The sequence below is a fragment of the Homo sapiens genome, chromosome 9 (genome assembly GCF_000001405.40).
Source record: "Homo sapiens chromosome 9, GRCh38.p14 Primary Assembly".
In the NCBI taxonomy this organism is placed as follows: domain Eukaryota; kingdom Metazoa; phylum Chordata; class Mammalia; order Primates; family Hominidae; genus Homo; species Homo sapiens.
In genome coordinates, this window is record NC_000009.12 from 63,034,641 (window position 1) to 63,053,456 (window position 18,816).

At 45.0% G+C, this 18,816-nt stretch overlaps 1 protein-coding gene and 1 long non-coding RNA gene across 3 annotated transcripts, besides 1 other annotated feature; both read right to left on the reverse strand.

Moving 5' to 3' along the window:
- Nucleotides 1–9,772: 9,772 nt before the first annotated feature.
- LOC107987004 (coiled-coil domain-containing protein 86-like) lies at nt 9,773–11,444 on the reverse strand. The gene has a single exon (XM_024447725.2). The coding sequence runs from the start codon at nt 10,419–10,421 to the stop codon at nt 9,927–9,929; it is 495 nt and encodes a 164-aa protein (XP_024303493.1). The 5' UTR covers nt 10,422–11,444; the 3' UTR covers nt 9,773–9,926.
- Nucleotides 10,635–11,134: an enhancer, noted in NCBI's record as "OCT4-H3K4me1 hESC enhancer chr9:66950247-66950746 (GRCh37/hg19 assembly coordinates)". NCBI's record gives its function as "activates a minimal SCP1, AML or CMV promoter by ChIP-STARR-seq in primed H9 embryonic stem cells {active_cell/tissue: H9 hESC(primed)}" and the evidence as "EXISTENCE:reporter gene assay evidence [ECO:0000049][PMID:30033119]".
- Nucleotides 11,445–13,353: 1,909 nt separating the features above from the next.
- Nucleotides 13,354–18,570, reverse strand: LOC107987003 (uncharacterized). Of its 2 annotated transcripts, none has more exons than XR_001746486.3 (3): nt 18,096–18,570; nt 16,193–16,363; nt 13,354–15,329 (listed from the first exon to the last, which is right to left on the reverse strand). It is a non-coding gene; the product is annotated as an uncharacterized LOC107987003 (long non-coding RNA). The 2 variants fall into 2 exon arrangements; XR_007061525.1 differs by lacking the exon at nt 18,096–18,570 and adding an exon at nt 17,502–17,644.
- Nucleotides 18,571–18,816: the final 246 nt, after the last annotated feature.

Sequence of the window (18,816 nt, forward strand, 5' to 3'; positions counted from 1 at the left end):
ATCTTTCAAAAAGATATTCAGTGTTCAAAATCCAAGAGTGCAATATCAGGCTGGGTGCGGTGGCTTATGCCTGTAATCCCAGCACTTTGGGAGGCCATGGTGGGTGGATCACCTGAGGTCAGGAGTTCGAGTCCGGCCTGGACAACAGGGTGAAACTCTGACTGTACTAAAAATACAAAAATTAGCCAGGCATGGTGGTGTGCACCTGTAGTCCTAGCTACTTGGGGGGCTGAGACAGGAGAATCGCTTGAACCTGGGAGGTGGAGGTTGCAGTGAACCGAGATCATGCCACCTCACTCCAGCATCAGTAACAGAATGAGATTCCATCTCAAGAAAAGAAAAGAGTGTAATATCGGTATACACAGATAATATACTGAATGAAACAAATAGAATAATTTGAAGAGGTATCTTGATGAACAAGGAGTCATTAGAAAGGTTGTATTTATGTCTTTGAAGGAAATTGCAATGTGAGAAATTAATACTTTGACTACTATACTAAAAGTTTATTGCTAACATCTATTGAGTTATTAACGTGTGTTAGGCAGAGTACCATATAATTTACAAGTGTTATCTCATTTATTGTAGGTAAAATGTAATTTCAAACTCTGGGAGTATAAATGAATTAGATAGAATAAAATTCTATTTAAATGGCCATCAGTAAATCGGTATCTAGGAACAGGGTGATACAGTGCCCAAGTTTTCTATTCTTACTAAATGTTGTGTTTCCTTTTCAATGTTTTCTTGGATATTGCTCTTTTTTGGTGATTTTGATTTTTTTTATTTTAGAAAACTAATAAATTGACTCTTCTTGGTACTGACTCGGGTTTTATAGAAGAAAAAGTAATTAAATTCTGTACATTTACCTTTACCTCATTTTTTCTCTTTTAAATTTACTTTAATTGACATACAATAAATGTACATGTTATGGGGTACAGAGTGATATTTTGATATATTTATGCAATGCGTAAAGATCAAGTCAGAGTCATTATCATATCCATTACCTAAATCATGTATTATTTCTTTGCAGTGAGAATATTCAAAATCTTTTCTTTTAGTTATTTGAAAACACACAATAAATTCCCATTAACTACAGTCACCCAACAGTGCTGTAGAGAACTAGAACTTCTTCCTTCTCTCCAGCTGTAATTTTGTATGTATTAAGCACATTTTTCTTATACTCTTCTTTCTCCTACTCTTTCCAGGATATGGTAACCAAAACTCTACTATCTACTTCTACGAGATTAAAAATTTTAGCTTCCATACATAAGTGAGAACACGTAGTTATGTGGTGTTTATATTTCTATGCCAGGCTTATTTCACCTAACATAATGCCCTCCACTTGCATTCTTGTTGCCACAAACAACAGGATTTTGTTCTTTATTATGACTAAATAATATTCCATTATATATGTATGTCACATTTCTTTATCCATTCATCTGTTGATGGACACTTTTGTTGATTCCATATCTTGGCTATTGTGAATAGTGCTGTAATAAACATGGGGGTGCAGGTAACTCTTTGATATACTGATTTTCTTTCCTTTGGATATATACTGAAAACCATATGATTAAATTAATAAACACAATAAAAGCGTTTGGCAAAATTAAATATTCTTACATGACAAAAAACTTCTCAACAATTTAGTATAGAAAATATATGCCTTAACACAAAGGACATAAAGGACAAATCTACAGCTAAGATCATACTGAGTGTGGAAAAGGTGAAAGATTTTACTGTGAACAAGAAAAAGATTTTACTGGAACAAGAAAAGGATGCCTATTCTCACCAATCATATTTCACATAGTGAAAGTCTTAGCCAGGACAATTAGGTGAGAGAAAGAAATAAAGGACATCTGAATTGGAAAGGAGACAGTCAAATTGTCCTTGTTTAAAGACAACGTGATCTTATACATGGAAAAAAATAAGACTCTACCAAAAGCTTCTCAGGGTGATACATGAAATTAATAAAGTTGCAGGATATAAATCAACATACAAAAATCAGTAGCATTTCTATATATTGATAGTAAACTAGCTGAAACAAGAAATTAAGAAAGCAATTCCTTTTACAATAGCTACAAAAATGTACTTAGAAATAAATTTAACCAAGTAAAAGATTTCGACAACAAAAATGACAAATATTAATGAAAGAAATTAAAGAAAACATAAAAAAGCAAAGACATCCACGTTTATAGATTGAAATAATATTCTTAAAATGACCCACTATCCTATGTGATTTACAAATTTAGTACAATCACTAGCTTGTATTTTTAAAAGCACCTTTGCTGCATATTCTTAACATATTCAATGACAATGCCTGGATTTAAGTTTGAGGTATTATTATATCTATTTTATACTGGGCACAATATAATGTTATCAGAGGTAACGGTTTTGATTGGTCCTAGGTCATACAGTAATATATACATTGTCATTTATAGACATGCTATCTTTTAATACTCAGGCATTTAGAAAGTTCATTTAGACAAAGTTATAAAAACTTGCCTTCCTTTCTGCCTGTATCACCTAAAAATCCTAATTTAAGAGGTAATAACATTTTTTATTTGATATACAATTTATCAACACAATAAAAATCTAACAATTATCATGTGCAGAGTGTGAAAATCTCATCAGATTAAGGAACACAAAGACATCTTTTTCATATTTTGAATGTAAAACTGTTTTGGAAACTGTTATTTTTAGAAACAGTTAAAAACATTGTTTCATTAGTTTTTCATGTAAAATTGTGACAACCAGCATGAAATAACTGTCATCACAGAAGCATGGTATATTCGATTCCGAAACATATTCTTTGTAAGTTTTAATATATTTATGTATTATTTATACTTAATTGTAACCCATAATGTACAGATATTATTTTTCCTTCAACTCTTAAGAATATTCTTAAATAATAAAATTAATGAATTATAATTTTTGTTGGTTGGGAAAAAGATACACACGTGACAGTGCATCACTTCACCTCATCATTTCATCTCATTTCATCTTATCCCATCTCATCTCATCATTTCATATCATCTCATCATTTCATCTCATCATTTCATCAAATCTCATCTCATCTCATTTCCATTTCATTTTCATTATTTCATCATTTCATTTCACTATTTCATTTCATGTAATTTCATTTATTTCATTATGTCATTTCATATCATCTCATTTCATTTCATGTCATATTTTTATATCATTTTTCGTATCATTTTTCATCACATTTCATCTCAATTTCATCTCATCATTTCATCTCACCTCATCATTTCCTCCTTTCTTTTCAACATTTCATCTCATTTCCTCTCATCTCATTTCAATTTTATTTCGTTATTTCATCTCATTTCATTATTTCACCTAATTTCATTATTTCATCTCATCTCATCTCAATTCATCTCATCTCATCTCATCATTTCATCTCATCATTTTTCATCTCATCATTTTTCATCTCATCATTTAATCTCATTTCATTTCATCTCATTTCAGCTCATTTCATGTCACATCTCTTCATCATTTCAACATTTCATTTCATCTCATCATTTCATCTCATCTTTCAATTTCATTTCAATATCAATTCATCATTTCATTTCACTTCATTATTTCATTATTTCATTTCATTTCAATTCATCTCATCATTTTTCATCTCATCATCTCATTTCATCATTTCATCTCATTTCTTCTCATTTCATCTCATTTTATCTCATTTCATCTCATCTCATTTCAATTTCATTTCATTATTTCATTTCACTTCATTTCATTTCATCTCATCACTTTATCTCATCTCATTGCATCAAATCATTTCTTCTCATCTCATCTCATTTCATCATTTCATCTCGTTTCATCTCATTTCATCTCATCTCACCTCATCATTTCATCTCATCCTTTCATTTCATCTCATCGTTTCATCTCACCTCAGCATTTCATCATTTCATCTCATCATTTATTTCATCTCATTTTATCTCATTTCATCTCATATCTCAATTCAATTTCCTTTCATTATTTCATTTCATCTCATTCATTTCATCTCATTTCATTACATCTCATTTCCTCTCATCATTACATCTCATCTCATCTTATCATTTCATCTCATCATTGCATCTCATCATTTCATCTCATCATTCATCTCATTTCATCTCATTTCCATTTCATTATTTCATTTCATCATTTAATTTCATCATCTCATTTAATTTCACCTCATTTCATTATTTCATTTTTTCATTTCATTGTCATTTCATTTCATCTCATTACATTTCATCTAATTTCATTTCACCTCATTTCATCTCATCATTTCATTTCATCTCATCATTTCATCTTTTCATCTCATTTCATCTCATCATCTCATCAACTCTTTTCATCTTATCTCATCATTTCATTTCATCTCATCATTTCATCTCATCTCGTATCTTATCTCATTTCAATTTCGTTTCATTATTTCATGTCATCTCATCTCATCTCATCATTTCATCTCATCATTTCATCTCATCACCTCATCATTTCATCATTTTATTTCATCATCTCATCATTTCATCTCATCTCGATTTTATTTCAATTTCATTTCACTATTTCATTTCATCTCATCATTTCATCTCACCATTTCATTTCATCATCTCATCTCATCATTTCATTTCATCATTCATCTCATCATCTCATCATTCATCTCATTTCATATCATCATTTTATCTCATCTATCATTTCATCTCATTTCATCTCATCTCATTCCATCATTACATCTCATTTCATCTCATTTTATGTCATCATTTCATGTCATCATTTCATCACATCTCATCTCATCATTTCATCTCATCATTTCATCATTTCATCTCATTTCAACTCATTGCATCTCAGCTCATCATTTCCATTTCATTATTCCGTTTCATCATTTCATTCATTATGTCATTTCATCTCATATTTCATCTCATCTCATCATTTCATCTCATTTTATCTCATCTCATTTCATCATTTCATCTCATCATTTCTTATCTCATCATTTCCATTTCATTTTCATTATTTCATCATTTCATTATTTTATTTCATCTCATTTCATTATTTCATTTCATTATGTCATTTCATTTCATCTCATTACATTTCATCTAATTTCATTTCACCTCATTTCATCTCATCATTTCATTTCATCTCATCATTTCATCTTTTCATCTCATTTCATCTCATCATCTCATCAACTCTTTTCATCTTATCTCATCATTTCATCATTTCATCTCATCATTTCATCTCATCTCGTATCTTATCTCATTTCAATTTCATTTCATTATTTCATGTCATCTCATCTCATCTCATCATTTCATCTCATCATTTCATCTCATCACATCTCATCATTTCATCATTTTATTTCATCATCTCATCATTTCATCTCTCATTTCGATTTCAATTTCATTTCACTATTTCATTTCATCTCATCATTTCATCTCACCATTTCATTTCATCATCTCATCTCATCATTTCATTTCATCATTCATCTCATCATCTCATCATTCATCTCATCATTTCATATCATTTTATCTCATCTATCATTTCATCTCATTTCATCTCATCTCATTCCATCTCATCTCATTCCATCATTACATCTCATTTCATCTCATTTTATGTCATCATTTCATGTCATTTCATCACATCTCATCTCATCATTTCATCTCATCATTTCATCATTTCATCTCATTTCAACTCATTGCATCTCAGCTCATCATTTCCATTTCATTATTCCATTTCATCATTTCATTCATTATGTCATTTCATCTCATATTTCATCTCATCTCATCATTTCATCTCATTTTATCTCATCTCATCATTTCATCATTTCATCTCATCATTTCTTCTCATCTCATCATTTCCATTTCATTTTCATTTCATTATTTCATCATTTCATTATTTTATTTCATCTCATTTCATTATTTCATTTCATGTCATTTCATTTCATCTCATTACATTTCCTCTAATTTCATTTCACCTCATTTCATCTCATCATTTCATTTCATCTCATTTCATCTTTTCATCTCATTTCATCTCATCATCTCAACCCTTTTCATCTTATCTCATCATTTCATCATTTCATCTCATCATTTCATCTCATCTCGTATCTTATTTCATTTCAATTTCATTTCATTATTTCATGTCATCTCATCTCATCTCATCATTTCATGTCATCATTTCATCTCATCACATCTCATCATTTCATCATTTTATTTCATCATCTCATCATTTCATCTCATTTCGATTTTATTTCAATTTCACTATTTCATCTCATCATTTCATCTCACCATTTCATCATCTCATCATTTCATTTCATCATTCATCTCATCATCTCATCATTCATCTCATCATTTCATATCATCATTTTATCTCATCTATCATTTCATCTCATCTCATCTCATTCCATCATTACATCTCATTTCATCTCATTTTATGTCATCATTTCATGTCATTTCATCACATCTCATCTCATCATTTCATCATTTCATCTCATTTCAACTCATTGCATCTCAGCTCATCATTTCCATTTCATTATTCCATTTCATCATTTCATTCATTATGTCATTTCATCTCATCATATTTCATCTCATCTCATCATTTCATCTCATTTTATCTCATCATTTCATCTCATCATTTCTTCTCATCTCATTTCCATTTCATTTTCATTTCATTATTTCATCATTTCATTATTTTATTTCATCTCATTTCATTATTTCATTTCATTATGTCATTTCATTTCATCTCATTACATTTCATCTAATTTCATTTCACCTCATTTCATCTCATCATTTCATTTCATCTCATCATTTCATCTTTTCATCTCATTTCATCTCATCATCTCAACCCTTTTCATCTTATCTCATCATTTCATCATTTCATCTCATCATTTCATCTCATCTCGTATCTTATCTCATTTCAATTTCATTTCATTATTTCATGTCATCTCATCTCATCATTTCATCTCATCATTTCATCTCATCACATCTCATCATTTCATCATTTTATTTCATCATCTCATCATTTCATCTCATTTCGATTTTATTTCAATTTCATTTCACTATTTCATTTCATCTCATCATTTCATCTCACCATTTCATTTCATCATCTCATCTCATCATTTCATTTCATCATTCATCTCATCTCATCATTCATCTCATCATTTCATATCATCATTTTATCTCATCTATTTCATCTCATTTCATCTCATCTCATTCCATCATTACATCTCATTTCATCTCATTTTATGTCATCATTTCATGTCATCATTTCATCACATCTCATCTCATCATTTCATCTCATTTCATCATTTCATCTCATTTCAACTCATTGCATCTCAGCTCATCATTTCCATTTCATTATTCCATTTCATCATTTCATTCATTATGTCATTTCATCTCATCATATTTCATCTCATCTCATCATTTCATCTCATTTTATCTCATCTCATCATTTCATCATTTCATCTCATCATTTCTTCTCATCTCATCATTTCCATTTCATTTTCATTTCATTATTTCATCATTTCATTATTTTATTTCATCTCATTTCATTATTTCATTTCATTATGTCATTTCATTTCATCTCATTACATTTCATCTTTCATCTCATAATTTCATCCATCATTTCATTTCATCATTTCATCTCATGATTTCATCTCATCTCATTATCTCATTTCATCTCATTATTTCATCTCATTTCATCTCATCTCATTTCCTCATTTCATTTCACCATTACATCTCATCATTTCAACTCATCTCATTTCAATTTCATCATTACATTTCATAATTTCCTTTCATTATTTCATTTCATTTCATCTCATTTCATTATTTCATTTCATCTCATTTTTCATCTCATCATTTTTCATCTCATTTCATTTCATCATTTCATCTCATCGTTCATCTCATCTCATCATTTTATCTCATTATTTCATCTCATATCATCTCATTTCAATTTCATTATTTCATATCATTTCATTATTTCATTTCATCTCGTTTCATCTCATTTCATCCATCATCTCATTTCATCTCATTTTATCTCATCTCCTCTCCTTTCAATTTCTTTTCAATTTTGTCATTTCGTCTCATCATTTCATCTCATCATTTCTACTCACCATTTCATCTCAAAATTTCATCTCATCATCTCATCTCATCATTTCGTCATTTCATCTCATCATTTCATCTCAAGTCATCATTTCATCTAAGTGAAATGATGTAATGGAATCATGAAATGAAATGGATAGGATGCCCTCAGTGATGTTAAATTTAAAAATTGTTTCTTTTCATGTATGCATTTTTATATTTATATTTACTTATAGTTATTTTTACTTTTTATTTATATTTTTACTTATTTCTTTATTTATAAACAAGGTCCTGTTCTGTGGCCTAGGCTGGAATGCAGTGGTGCATGGTGCATTCACAGTTCACTGAAGCCTCAAGCAAACCTCCCACCTTAGCCTCCCAGGTAGCTGGGACCCCAGGTGCGCACCACCACACCTGGTTAATATTTTATTATTTGCAGAGATGGAGTCTTGCTATTCTGCCCAGGCTGGTCTCAAACTCCTGGGCTCAAGCAATCCTCCTGCATTGGCAACCCAAAATGCTGGGAGGACAGATATGAGCCACAGTGCCCAACCTATTTATTTATTTATTTATTTATTTATTTATTTAATAAAGACAAGGTCTCACTATGTTGCCCAGGCTGGTCAACTCCTGGACTCAAATGATTCTCCAAACTTGGCCTCTCAAAATGTTGGGATTACAGGTATGAGCCACCATGCTTGGCCTAAAAATAGTATTATATTTTTGTATCATATAATTTTCAATTAGGTATTATGAATATTCTGTACAGGAAACACACCCTTAATTACATAGGAATAAACATTTGTTACACTGAGAAAAATCTAATAGAGCTAAAAATAAAAATTAATTTGGAAAGGTCATTAGATACTGATACATTCTTACGTTTATACATTCTTTCATATATTCATATATCCTTTTAACAGTATCAATGGTTTGGAGTTACGTGTACAAAGCCATGACCCATATGTAATACAACTAATAACAGGCACTTACAATTCAAGGCATATTATATACAAAGCTTTAACTTCTTATCAAAATATTTTACTTTTTTCTTTCTGTTTTGGCAGATACTATGAACACAACATTCAACTCACAGACACCATGGAGCCCTTACTAAGCATAAAGTACTGTGAAAGGCCAGGGCTAGGACAGAACTGAGACAGGGCCAGGGATAGGACAGAACTGGGGCAGGGTCATGGCCAGAGAAAAACCAGGGGCAGGGTCACAGCCAGGGACATGAGAGGACCAAGGCCAGGTCCAGATGCAGGGAAGAACCAGGGCCAGGGCAGGGACATGGCAGGGCCAGGGCCATGGCAGGATCAGGGTCAGCAGAAGGCCAGGGCAGGGCTAGGGTGGCACAGGGCCAAGGCAGGGCAGGGTCAGTGTAGAGCAAGGAACGGGCCAGGGTATGGCAGGGCAGGGACAGGGAGGTCCAGGGCCAGAGTCAGGTCCAGGACATGGACAGGGCAGGGCCAGAAACATGGCAGGACCAGAAAGGGGACAGGGCAAGGGCAAGGCCAGAGAAGGACCATGGGAAAAACATGGCCAGGGAGGGTCCAGGGCAAGGGCAAGTCCAGGGCAGAACCAGAGCCAGAGCAGGCCAAAGGCAGGGCCAGGGCAGGGCAAGGCCAGGATAGGGCAGGGCCAGTGTAGGGTGAGGGTAGGACCAGGGCGAGTTCAGGGCCAGGGCAGGACTAAGATAGCACAAGGCTAAGGCAGGGCCAAAAGGAGGGGCCAGGGCCAAGCATGGCCAGTGTCAGACCTGGGGATTGTCAGGGTCAGGGTCAAGGCTGGTCCAGGGACAGGGCCAGAGCAAGGGCAGGGCCAGGGAGAAAGCAGAACCAGAGAGGATCCAGAGCAAGGCCAGGGTCAGGGCAGAACCAGGACCAGGATAAGGCAAAGCCAAGGCCAGGGCAGGGCAAGACCAGGGAAGGGCAAGGCCAGGGTAGAAAAGGCCAGGGTAGGGCCAGGCCAGGGTAAGAGAAGGCCATGGTAGGGCCAAGGCCAAGGCAGGGCAGGGCTAGGGTAGCACAGGGCACGGCCAAAAACAGAGCAGGGCCATAGCAGTGGCAGGACTAGCAACAGGGCTAGGGCAAGCGCTGGACCAGAGCATGGTGGGGACAATATAGGGCCAGGACAGAGGATGGCAAGGCAGGTCCAGGGCCATCTCATGGACTCAGTAGGCCTGGGGTCAGGCCAGGGCAGGGCAAAGGCAAGGCCAGGAAGAAGGCAGGGCCGGGGCCAAGGCAGTGCCAGGGCAGGGCAGGACCAGTGCAGGGCCAATGCAGGGTGAGGGCAAGGCCAGGGCATGGAAGGGCAGGGCAGGATCAAGGAAGGGCCAGGAGAGGGCCACGGCAGGGTCATGGCGAGAACAAGGGTATGGCTGGGGTCAGGAATATGGTAGGATGAGGGCTGGGCCCAGGCTGGGGCACGCAGGGCAGAGCATGGTCTGTGCAAGGCATGGCCAGAGCCAGGCCATAGAGATGGGAGGGCAACACCAAGGCAGAGTCAGGGTAGATCCAGGGCTGAGCAGAGTCAGGGCAGGTCCAGAGTCGAGGCAGAGCTAGGGCCCAAGCAGGGCCATGGTAGCACCAGGGCAGAGGAGGGCAGGGCAATGCAGGACTGGGCCATGGCAGTGCCTGGTCAACTCCGGGGCAGGGCCAGAAGCAGGACAGGGCCAGGGCCAATGCTCAGGCCAGGGACAGGGCATGACAGGACGTGCCAGAGCAGGGCTGGGCCAACGTTGGGGCAGGGCAAATCAGACCAGGACACCTCCAAGTCCAGCTCTGGCCCTGCCTTGGCCCTGGCCCCTTCCTGGCCTGACCTTGTCCCTGGCCCTGCCCTATCCATGCCCTGTGTGTTTGACCAGTGTTTTATAACCAGAATCCTACAAGAAACTTAAATTAGTTCTTTTTGTGCATTTTTAGTAGAGATGGGGTTTCACAATGTTGCCCAGGCTGGTTCCAAACTCCTGAGCTCAAGCCATCTGCCTGCCTTGGCCTCCCAAAGTGCTGGGATTACAGGAGTAATCTGGCCAAGTATTTACCTTCTTTTTGCCTGTTTCCTACATTTGGAAAATGGGGATGCTTTAAGTACCTAGCATATAGAATTATTATGAGAATCAATGCCTCACATATTTACATGTTGATAAAATTATACTCATAGAACACTACTGGAAGCAAAGATAGTATTAGTTAAAATTTAGTGATTACTGCAAGTATTATTACTATTACAAACAACATAGTATAGACATTACTACTACTATAGTTATCTTAAAAATCTAAAATAAAAATTTTAGTAATAGCCTAAAGTAATCTCTCCTGCTCTGCCCTGGCTCAGCCCTAGTGCCGGCTCTGCCCCTAGTCCTACTACATCCCTGGCCCTGACCCTTCCCTGATCCAGCCGCTGCCCTGGCCCTTCCCATCTTCAGGCCTTAACATGGCCCTACCCTGGTCCTGACCCTGCCCTGGTCTGGTCCTGACCCTGGCCCTACCCCAGAGAAGGGGTATGGCAGAGCCAGGGAAGGGCCGGGGCAAATAAGGGACAGGACACATCCAAATCCAGGAACGGGCCAGGGCCATGACAGAGCCAGGGCGAGTCCTTGGCAGGGCCAGGTTCCAGGCCAGGACCAGGAAAATGTCATGGCAGGGTCACTGTATGGCCAAGGTCCAGGCCAAAGCCAAGGCAGTGGCAGGGTCAGGTCTGCATAAGGGCAGGACCAGAGCCAGTGATACGGCAGGGCCAGGGCCAGGGCCAGGGCCAGGGCTGTGCCAGGACAGAACAAGAGCAGAGCAGGGCAGGACCACAGCCAGGCCATAGAGAGAGTAGGGCAAATGCCAAGGCAATGCCAGGGTAGTGCCAGGGCTGAGGCAAGGTCAGGGAAGGTCCAGGGCTGAGTCAAGGCTAGAACCAAGATGGGGCAAAGGCCGGGGCAGATCTAGGGCACAAGCGGGGCAGATCTAGGGCACAAGCAGGGCAAGCTAGGGCAGGGCAATGGCAAGACCAGGCCATGGCAGGGCCAGCCCAGGATAGAACAGGGCACAGGCAGGGCAGGGCCAGGGCCACGGCTGGGGCAGGACAAGGACCAGGACCGGGGTCCAGGCCAGGGCAAGGGTATGGCCAGGGCAGAGGTAGGGCCAGAGCCAGGGTCTGGGCAGGACCAAGGCAGGTCTATTGCAGGGCCAGGGTTCAGACCAGGGCCAGAGCAGGGCTGGGACAGGGCCAGGGCCAGAACCAGGAAAGGGCAATGTCAGGACAAGGGCCATGGCAGGACCAGCAACGGGGCTAGGACCAGTACAGGGACAGGGACAGGGTCAGGGCTAGGGCCAGAATAGCATGCCAGGGTAGAGCCAGGCCAAATTAGGGCCAGGGCTGGGCCAGGGTATGGCCTTAAGTAGTGAAGGGCCAGGGCCAGGGTCCATGCCAGTGCCAGCGCCGGTCCAGGGCAGACGCAGGGCCATGGCCAGGTCTAGGACAAGGCTGTGGCAGGGCCAAGGTCTGGGTCAGGGTCAGCATAAGACCAGGACAGAGCCAGGGGAGGGACAGGGCCATGGTAAGACCAGGTTAAACCATGGACAAGACACCTGCAAATCCACTTCAGGGCCAGGGCAGGGCCAGTTCAGGGCCAGGGTAAGGGCTGCCAGGGTCATTGGCAGGGCCAGGGCCATGGCAGGACCAGGGTCAGGAGCAGGGGTCAATGCCAGGCCAAGGCCACAGATAGGACCAGGTCTGTGCTAGGGCCAGTGTGAGGGCCAAGACGGGGTCAGGGCAGGGCCAAAGGGAGGGCAGGGCCAGGGCAGGGTGGAGCAGGCCCAGGGTAGCACAGGGTTAAGGTAGGGCACGACCAACCAGGGCAGGTCTATGGCTGGGGCCGGGGCAGGGCCAGGGCCGGGGCAGGGCCAGAGCCAGGGCAGGGCCAAGACAGTGGCAGCTCCAGGGCAGGGCCAGGGTTAGGACCACGGACATGTCCAAGGCCAGTGCCAGGGCAAGGGCAAGGGCAGGGGCAGGGCCAGGGTCATCTAAGAATTAGGGACAAAGCCAGGCCCAGAGCTGGGCCAGGACCGGTACCTGCAGGGCTAGGGTCTGGGCCAGGGCCACAACCAGGTCTGTGCTATGGCCAGGTCCAACACAGTGCCCTGGTAAGGCTAGGGTGAAGGCCAAGGTAGGGCCAGGGCAGGGTCAAAGCCAGGCTAGGGCCAAGGCAGGGCCAGGAAAGCATAGGGCCAGGGCAGGGCAGGGCCAGGCCAGTGCCAAGACCCGGGCAGGGCCAGGGCCAGGGCCATAGAAACGGCCTGGGCAGGACCAGGTTTGGGGCAGGAGCAAAACAAGGGCAAGGACAGTGCAGGTTCTTGGCACAGCCAGGGTCCAGGACAGTGTCAGGGCAGGGCCAAGGCAGGGTCTGGGCCATGGTAAGACCAGCAACAGGGCTGGGGCTAGGTCAGTGACAGGACCAGAGTCAGGGCAAGGGCCAGAGCAGGGCAAGGCCAGGGTAGGGCCAGGCATTTCAGGGTCAGGGCCATGGGAGAACCAGGGCAAGGTCTCAAGCAGGGAAGGGCCAGGGCCAGGACAGGTCCAGGGCAGGGTCATGACAGGGCCAGGGGCTGCATTAGGGCAAGGGCAGGGCCAGAGCAAGGTAAGGGTCAGGGCCAAGGCTAGGGTAGGGACAGGGCAAGAAATATGGCAGGACCAGGGGCAATGCCAAGGCCAAGGCTGAGTCAGGGCTGAGTCAGGGCAGGGCAGGGCAAGGCATGGTATGGCCAGTGCAGGACAGGACAAGAGCCGGTCCACAGAGAGAGCAGGGCTGATGCCAAGAATGAGCCAGGCTAGTGCCAAGGCTGAGGCAGTGTCAGAGCATGTCCAGGGCAGGGCCGGGGCCAGGGCCAGAACCGAGCCAGGGCACAGCCAAGGCAGGGTAGGGCGGGGAAATAGCGTGGCCGGGTCAGTACTGGGACAGGGCAGAGCAGGGCAAGGCGATGGTAGGGGCAGGGCAGAGACAGGCCAATGCAGAGCCATGTTACACCGGGGCCAGGACACCTCCAAGTCCACTTCAGGGCCAAAGCTATGGCAGGACAAAGACCAGGGCCAGGGTCAGAGCCAGGTCTGTGCTGGGCCTAGCGAAGACTAGGGTGAGGGCCAAGGCAAGGCCAGGGCAGGGTCAAAGGCAGAGTAGAGCCAGGGCAGGGTGATGACACATCCAGAGCACAGCAGGGCAGGGTGATGGCAAGACCAGGGGCAGACCACTGCCAGCTCAGGGCCAGGGAAAGACCAGTGCAGAGCCAGGAAAGGGTCTGGGTCTGGGTCAGGGCCAGGAACAAGGCAGAGCAGGGCCAGGGCCATGGCAGAGTCAGGGCAGGTCCTTGACAGGACCAGGTTCCAGGCCAGGGCCAGGGCAGCAGCAGGGGCAGGGCCTGGATAAGGGCAGGGTCAGGGATATGGCAGGACCAGGGCTAGGGCCAGGGCCAGGGCCAGGCCATAGTGAGGGCAGGGCAAAAGCCAAGGCAGGGTCAGGGCAGGTCCAGGGCAGGTCCAGGAAGCGGCCAGCACCAAGCGGGGCCAAGGCACAACCAGCGCAGGGTAAGGCAGGGCAATGGCACCACTGGGCCATGACAGGGCCAGGTCAGTGCCAGGAGAGGGCAGAACAGGAAGGCCCATGGTGGGGCCAGGGCAGGGATGGGCCAAAGCAGAGCCAGGACATTTCCAAGGCCAGGTCAGGGCCAGAACAGGAGCAGGACCATGACCACTGGCAGGGCCAGTGCCATGACAGGACCAGGGTCAGGACAAGGGGCAGGGCCAGAGCCAGGGCCAGAGCCAAGGTCAGGCCAGTGCAGGTTCAGGGCAGGGCCAGTGCCAGGGCAAGACCAGGGCAGGGACAGGGTAGCACGGGGCCAAGACAGGGTCAGGATGGGACCAGAGCAGGACAGGGCTGAGAGTCCAGGTAACAGTAGGGCAGGTACAGGGCAAGGCAGGGCAGTACAGGGCCAGATCCACGGCAGGCACAGGGCAAAGCCAGGCCCATTGCCAATGCACCAGCCCTCCCTACAAGGCTCCTACCACCTGGCCACTGCTGCAGCCCGTCCATCGCTGTAAGCCTGACTCCCAACCCTGCCTGCAGCCGCCCGCCCTCCTAGCGTGGCCACTCTCCTACCGCTCTGGCGCACTGCAGTCTCCGTCACTGCCACCCACCCGCAGCGAGGTGAGCCGTGGTGTTGCAGGCTCTAGGTGTCTCCTCCTCCTCCTGGCATGGAGCAGCTGGGCGGGCAAAGCCAGAAAAGCCTAGAGGAAGTTGTGAGGAGTGGAAGCGTTAGAGCCTCAAGTTGTCGTGCCGGCCACTGGGTGGCAGGGGCCAGTTTCAGCAAAGGCACTCACACCCACCCTCCAAAGTCCAGCCTCTCCTTTTGGCCCAAGCTGGCTGGGAACTGGGGTCTGGGGTGGGTGCTGGAGACACCACAGCACCCAGCTCCCCACTCCACAGGAACCACTGGGCCCACCGGGGCTGCACTCCTCGGGGAACAGGAGAAGCAGAAAAATTCAGACCCAGCCAGCCCTCCGCACCCAGGTGCCAATTCCTGTTCCGGATGCCTCCACACACAGGGCCCTGTTCCCCGTGGTGTCCCCAGGGGTGCCTGGCAGCCTCTGAGGCACAGACCCAGAGTGCACAGGCTTAGGAACCACGGTGGGTGTGGGGGCTCTGCCATGCTCAGGATTCCCATGCAAACGCTGCGTGCCCTGCCGCACTCCAGTATGACCAAGAGTGGTTCGCCCTCTGGAGTGTGGAGTCAGGGAGAGGAGAACCACTCCTTCCTTGGATGCCAACTCTGTTGACTGCCGCCAGCAGTGCAGCCCCTGATAGCACCGAACTCGCCCCCGCTCCACGGCTAGTCCTGCCCTCAATAGCGCCCCCCACCTCCGTCCCCCAATGCCGCCAGTAGCATATACCCGATATGCCCTAACCTGTCCTCCTCCATGGGCATTGCAGCCCCAGAAAGCACCCATAACCCACCCTCCCTGCTGTGGGCAGTGCAGCCCTGTGCAGTGCTACCAACCAGTACCCCTAATGCAGGCAATGACACCCTGGATAGCGCCCCCAACCCACCCCACACTGCGAAAGGTGCAGCCCTGGATAGCCCCTGTCCTACCACTCTGGTCATGCTGCAGTCTCTGTCACTGCCACCACCAACTACAGTGAGGCAAGCCAGTGGGCCGCAGGCTCTAGCTCCCAGCAGCCAGGCATGGAGCAGCTCTCGCTGATGGCCGGCTCCTACCACACTGACCATGCTGCTCTCTGTCTCCGTGGCAATCTTCTTTCACTACAAAGAAATAAAACTAGGTATCAATAAGAAAAGTAATTTTGGAAACAATACAATCACATGGAAGTTAAACACTACCCTCCTGAATAAATGACCTGAATAAATAAAGGTCAATGAAGATACTAAGACAGAAATTCAAAAATTTCATGAAACAAAGGGTAATGAAAACACAGTATACCAAAACTTGTTACGCAGAAAGCAGTACAAAGGCAGAGATTTACAGCTATAAGTGCCTACCATCCAAACAAAAGAAAAACTTCAAATAAACAATACATCTTAAAGAACTAGTAAAGTAAGAACAAACTAAACCGAAAATAAGAAAATAAATAAGATCGTAGCAGAAACAAAATTGAAATAAAAAACACACAAGATTAAACGAAAAGTTGGTTTTCTGGAAAGCTAAACAAAATTGACAAACTTTTAACCAGCCTAAGAAAAGAGACAAGATTCAAATAAATAAAATCAACAGATTAAAAAAAGGAGACATTACAACTAATACTTCAGAAATTCAAAGGATCATAACTGGCTATTATATGCCAATAAATTGGAAAGCCTAGTAGAAATTGGCAAATTCCTAGATGCATACAACCTACTTAGGTTAAACAATGAAAACATCCAAGACCAGAACAGATTGGTAACAAGTAATGAGATTGAAGCCATCAGAAAAAGTCTCCCAGTAAAGAAAAGCCCAGGAACTGATGATGTCTTCACTGCTGATGGCTTCACACCAAACAATTTAAAGACCTAGTACAAATCCTGCTCAAATTATTTTGAAAAACAGGAGGGAATACTTCCAAACTTATTCTATGAGACCATTATTACTGTGATACGAAAATCAGATAAAAGCATCAAAGAAGAAAACTACAGGACAGGATCTCTAATATTGATGCAAAAATCCTCAACAGAATACCAGTGAATCAAATTCAGTAATACATTAAAAAGATAATTCATCATGATCAACTGGGATGTATCCCTGGAATGCAAGAGTCACTCAACATACAATGTGATACATCATATCAACCAAATAAACGACAAAAACCGTATGATCATGTCAACTGAAACCAAAAAAGCATGTGATGAAATTCAACATCCCTTCATGCTATAAATCCTCAAAGAAACAGGCACAGAAGAAACATACCGCAACATAATAAAAACTACAGGAAAGACACCCACAGCTAGAATCATATGGAATGGGGAAAAATGGAAAGCTTTTCCTCTAAGATCTGGAACATGATAAGGATGCCCCCTGTCACCACTGTTGTTTAACATAGTACCAGAAATCCTAGCTAAAGCAATCAGTGCAGCCCCTGATATGGCCCCCAACCCACCCTGCCCCCTACCACCAGCAGTGTCGCCCCCCCCCAATAGCACACCCAACATACCCTAACCGCCCCGCCTCCCCGCACCATGGGCATTACAGCAGCCCATAGCGCCCTCAACCCAAAACCGCCACCCCCCCCCCACAGCCACACAGTGCAGCCCCAGATAGCACACTTAACCCACCTCACTGTTGCCAGCAATACAGTCTGGGATAGTGCCCCCAACCGGCTCCCCGCCAAAGCAGTGCAGCCCCGGTTTGAGCCCCCAAACCGCCCCCCCCCCCGCCCCCGGGCAGGCAGCACAGCCCCAGATAGCACACCCAACCAGCCACCCAAGACGGGCAGTGACGCCTGAGATAGGGCTCCCAACCCGTCCCAGGCCACCAGCAGTGCAGCCTGGATGGCGCACTTACCCCAATGCCTTTCTACACTGGCTGGCTGCAGTCTCCATCGCTGCCACCAACCACAAACATGGCTGCAAACAGGAAGGATTTTATTCACCGTCGATGCGGCCCTGAGTTGTCCCAAAGCGAGGCAGTGCCCCAAGGTCTATGCAGAGCAGAACGCAGCTCCGCCCTCGCAATGCTCTCCGGGTCTGTGCCGAGGAGAACGCAGCTCCGCCCTTGCAAAGGCACACAGCGCCGGTGCCGGCGTGGCGGAGAAGCGGACAGCGGCGGAGAGGCGGTCGGCGGCGGCGCGGCGGAGAGGCGGTCGGCGGCGGCGCGGCGGAGAGGCGGTCGGCGGCGGCGCGGCGGAGGCGAGGCGGGCGGCGGCGGCGCGGCGGAGAGGCGGTCGGCGGCGGCGCGGCGGAGAGGCGGGCGGCGGCGGCGAGGCGGGCGGCGGCGGCGCGGCGGAGAGCGGCGGCGCGGCGGAGAGCGGCGGCGCGGCGGAGAGCGGCGGCGCGGGCGCACAGCGGCGGCGCAGGCGCACAGCGGCGGCGCAGGCGCGGAGAGGCGCAGGCCCAGGCTCCACTCCCCAGCTCTGAAAACTCATCCTGGTCAGAGTTCAGAAGGACATGTGGAGTATAAGGTCAGATGCGGAGATAAAGGGAGATGGTGTGGCCCTCCTGCCTGGGGGTGCTGAGCAGGTTGCTGGAGGCGGTGATCTCACTCTGAAGGAGACAGACACAGAAAT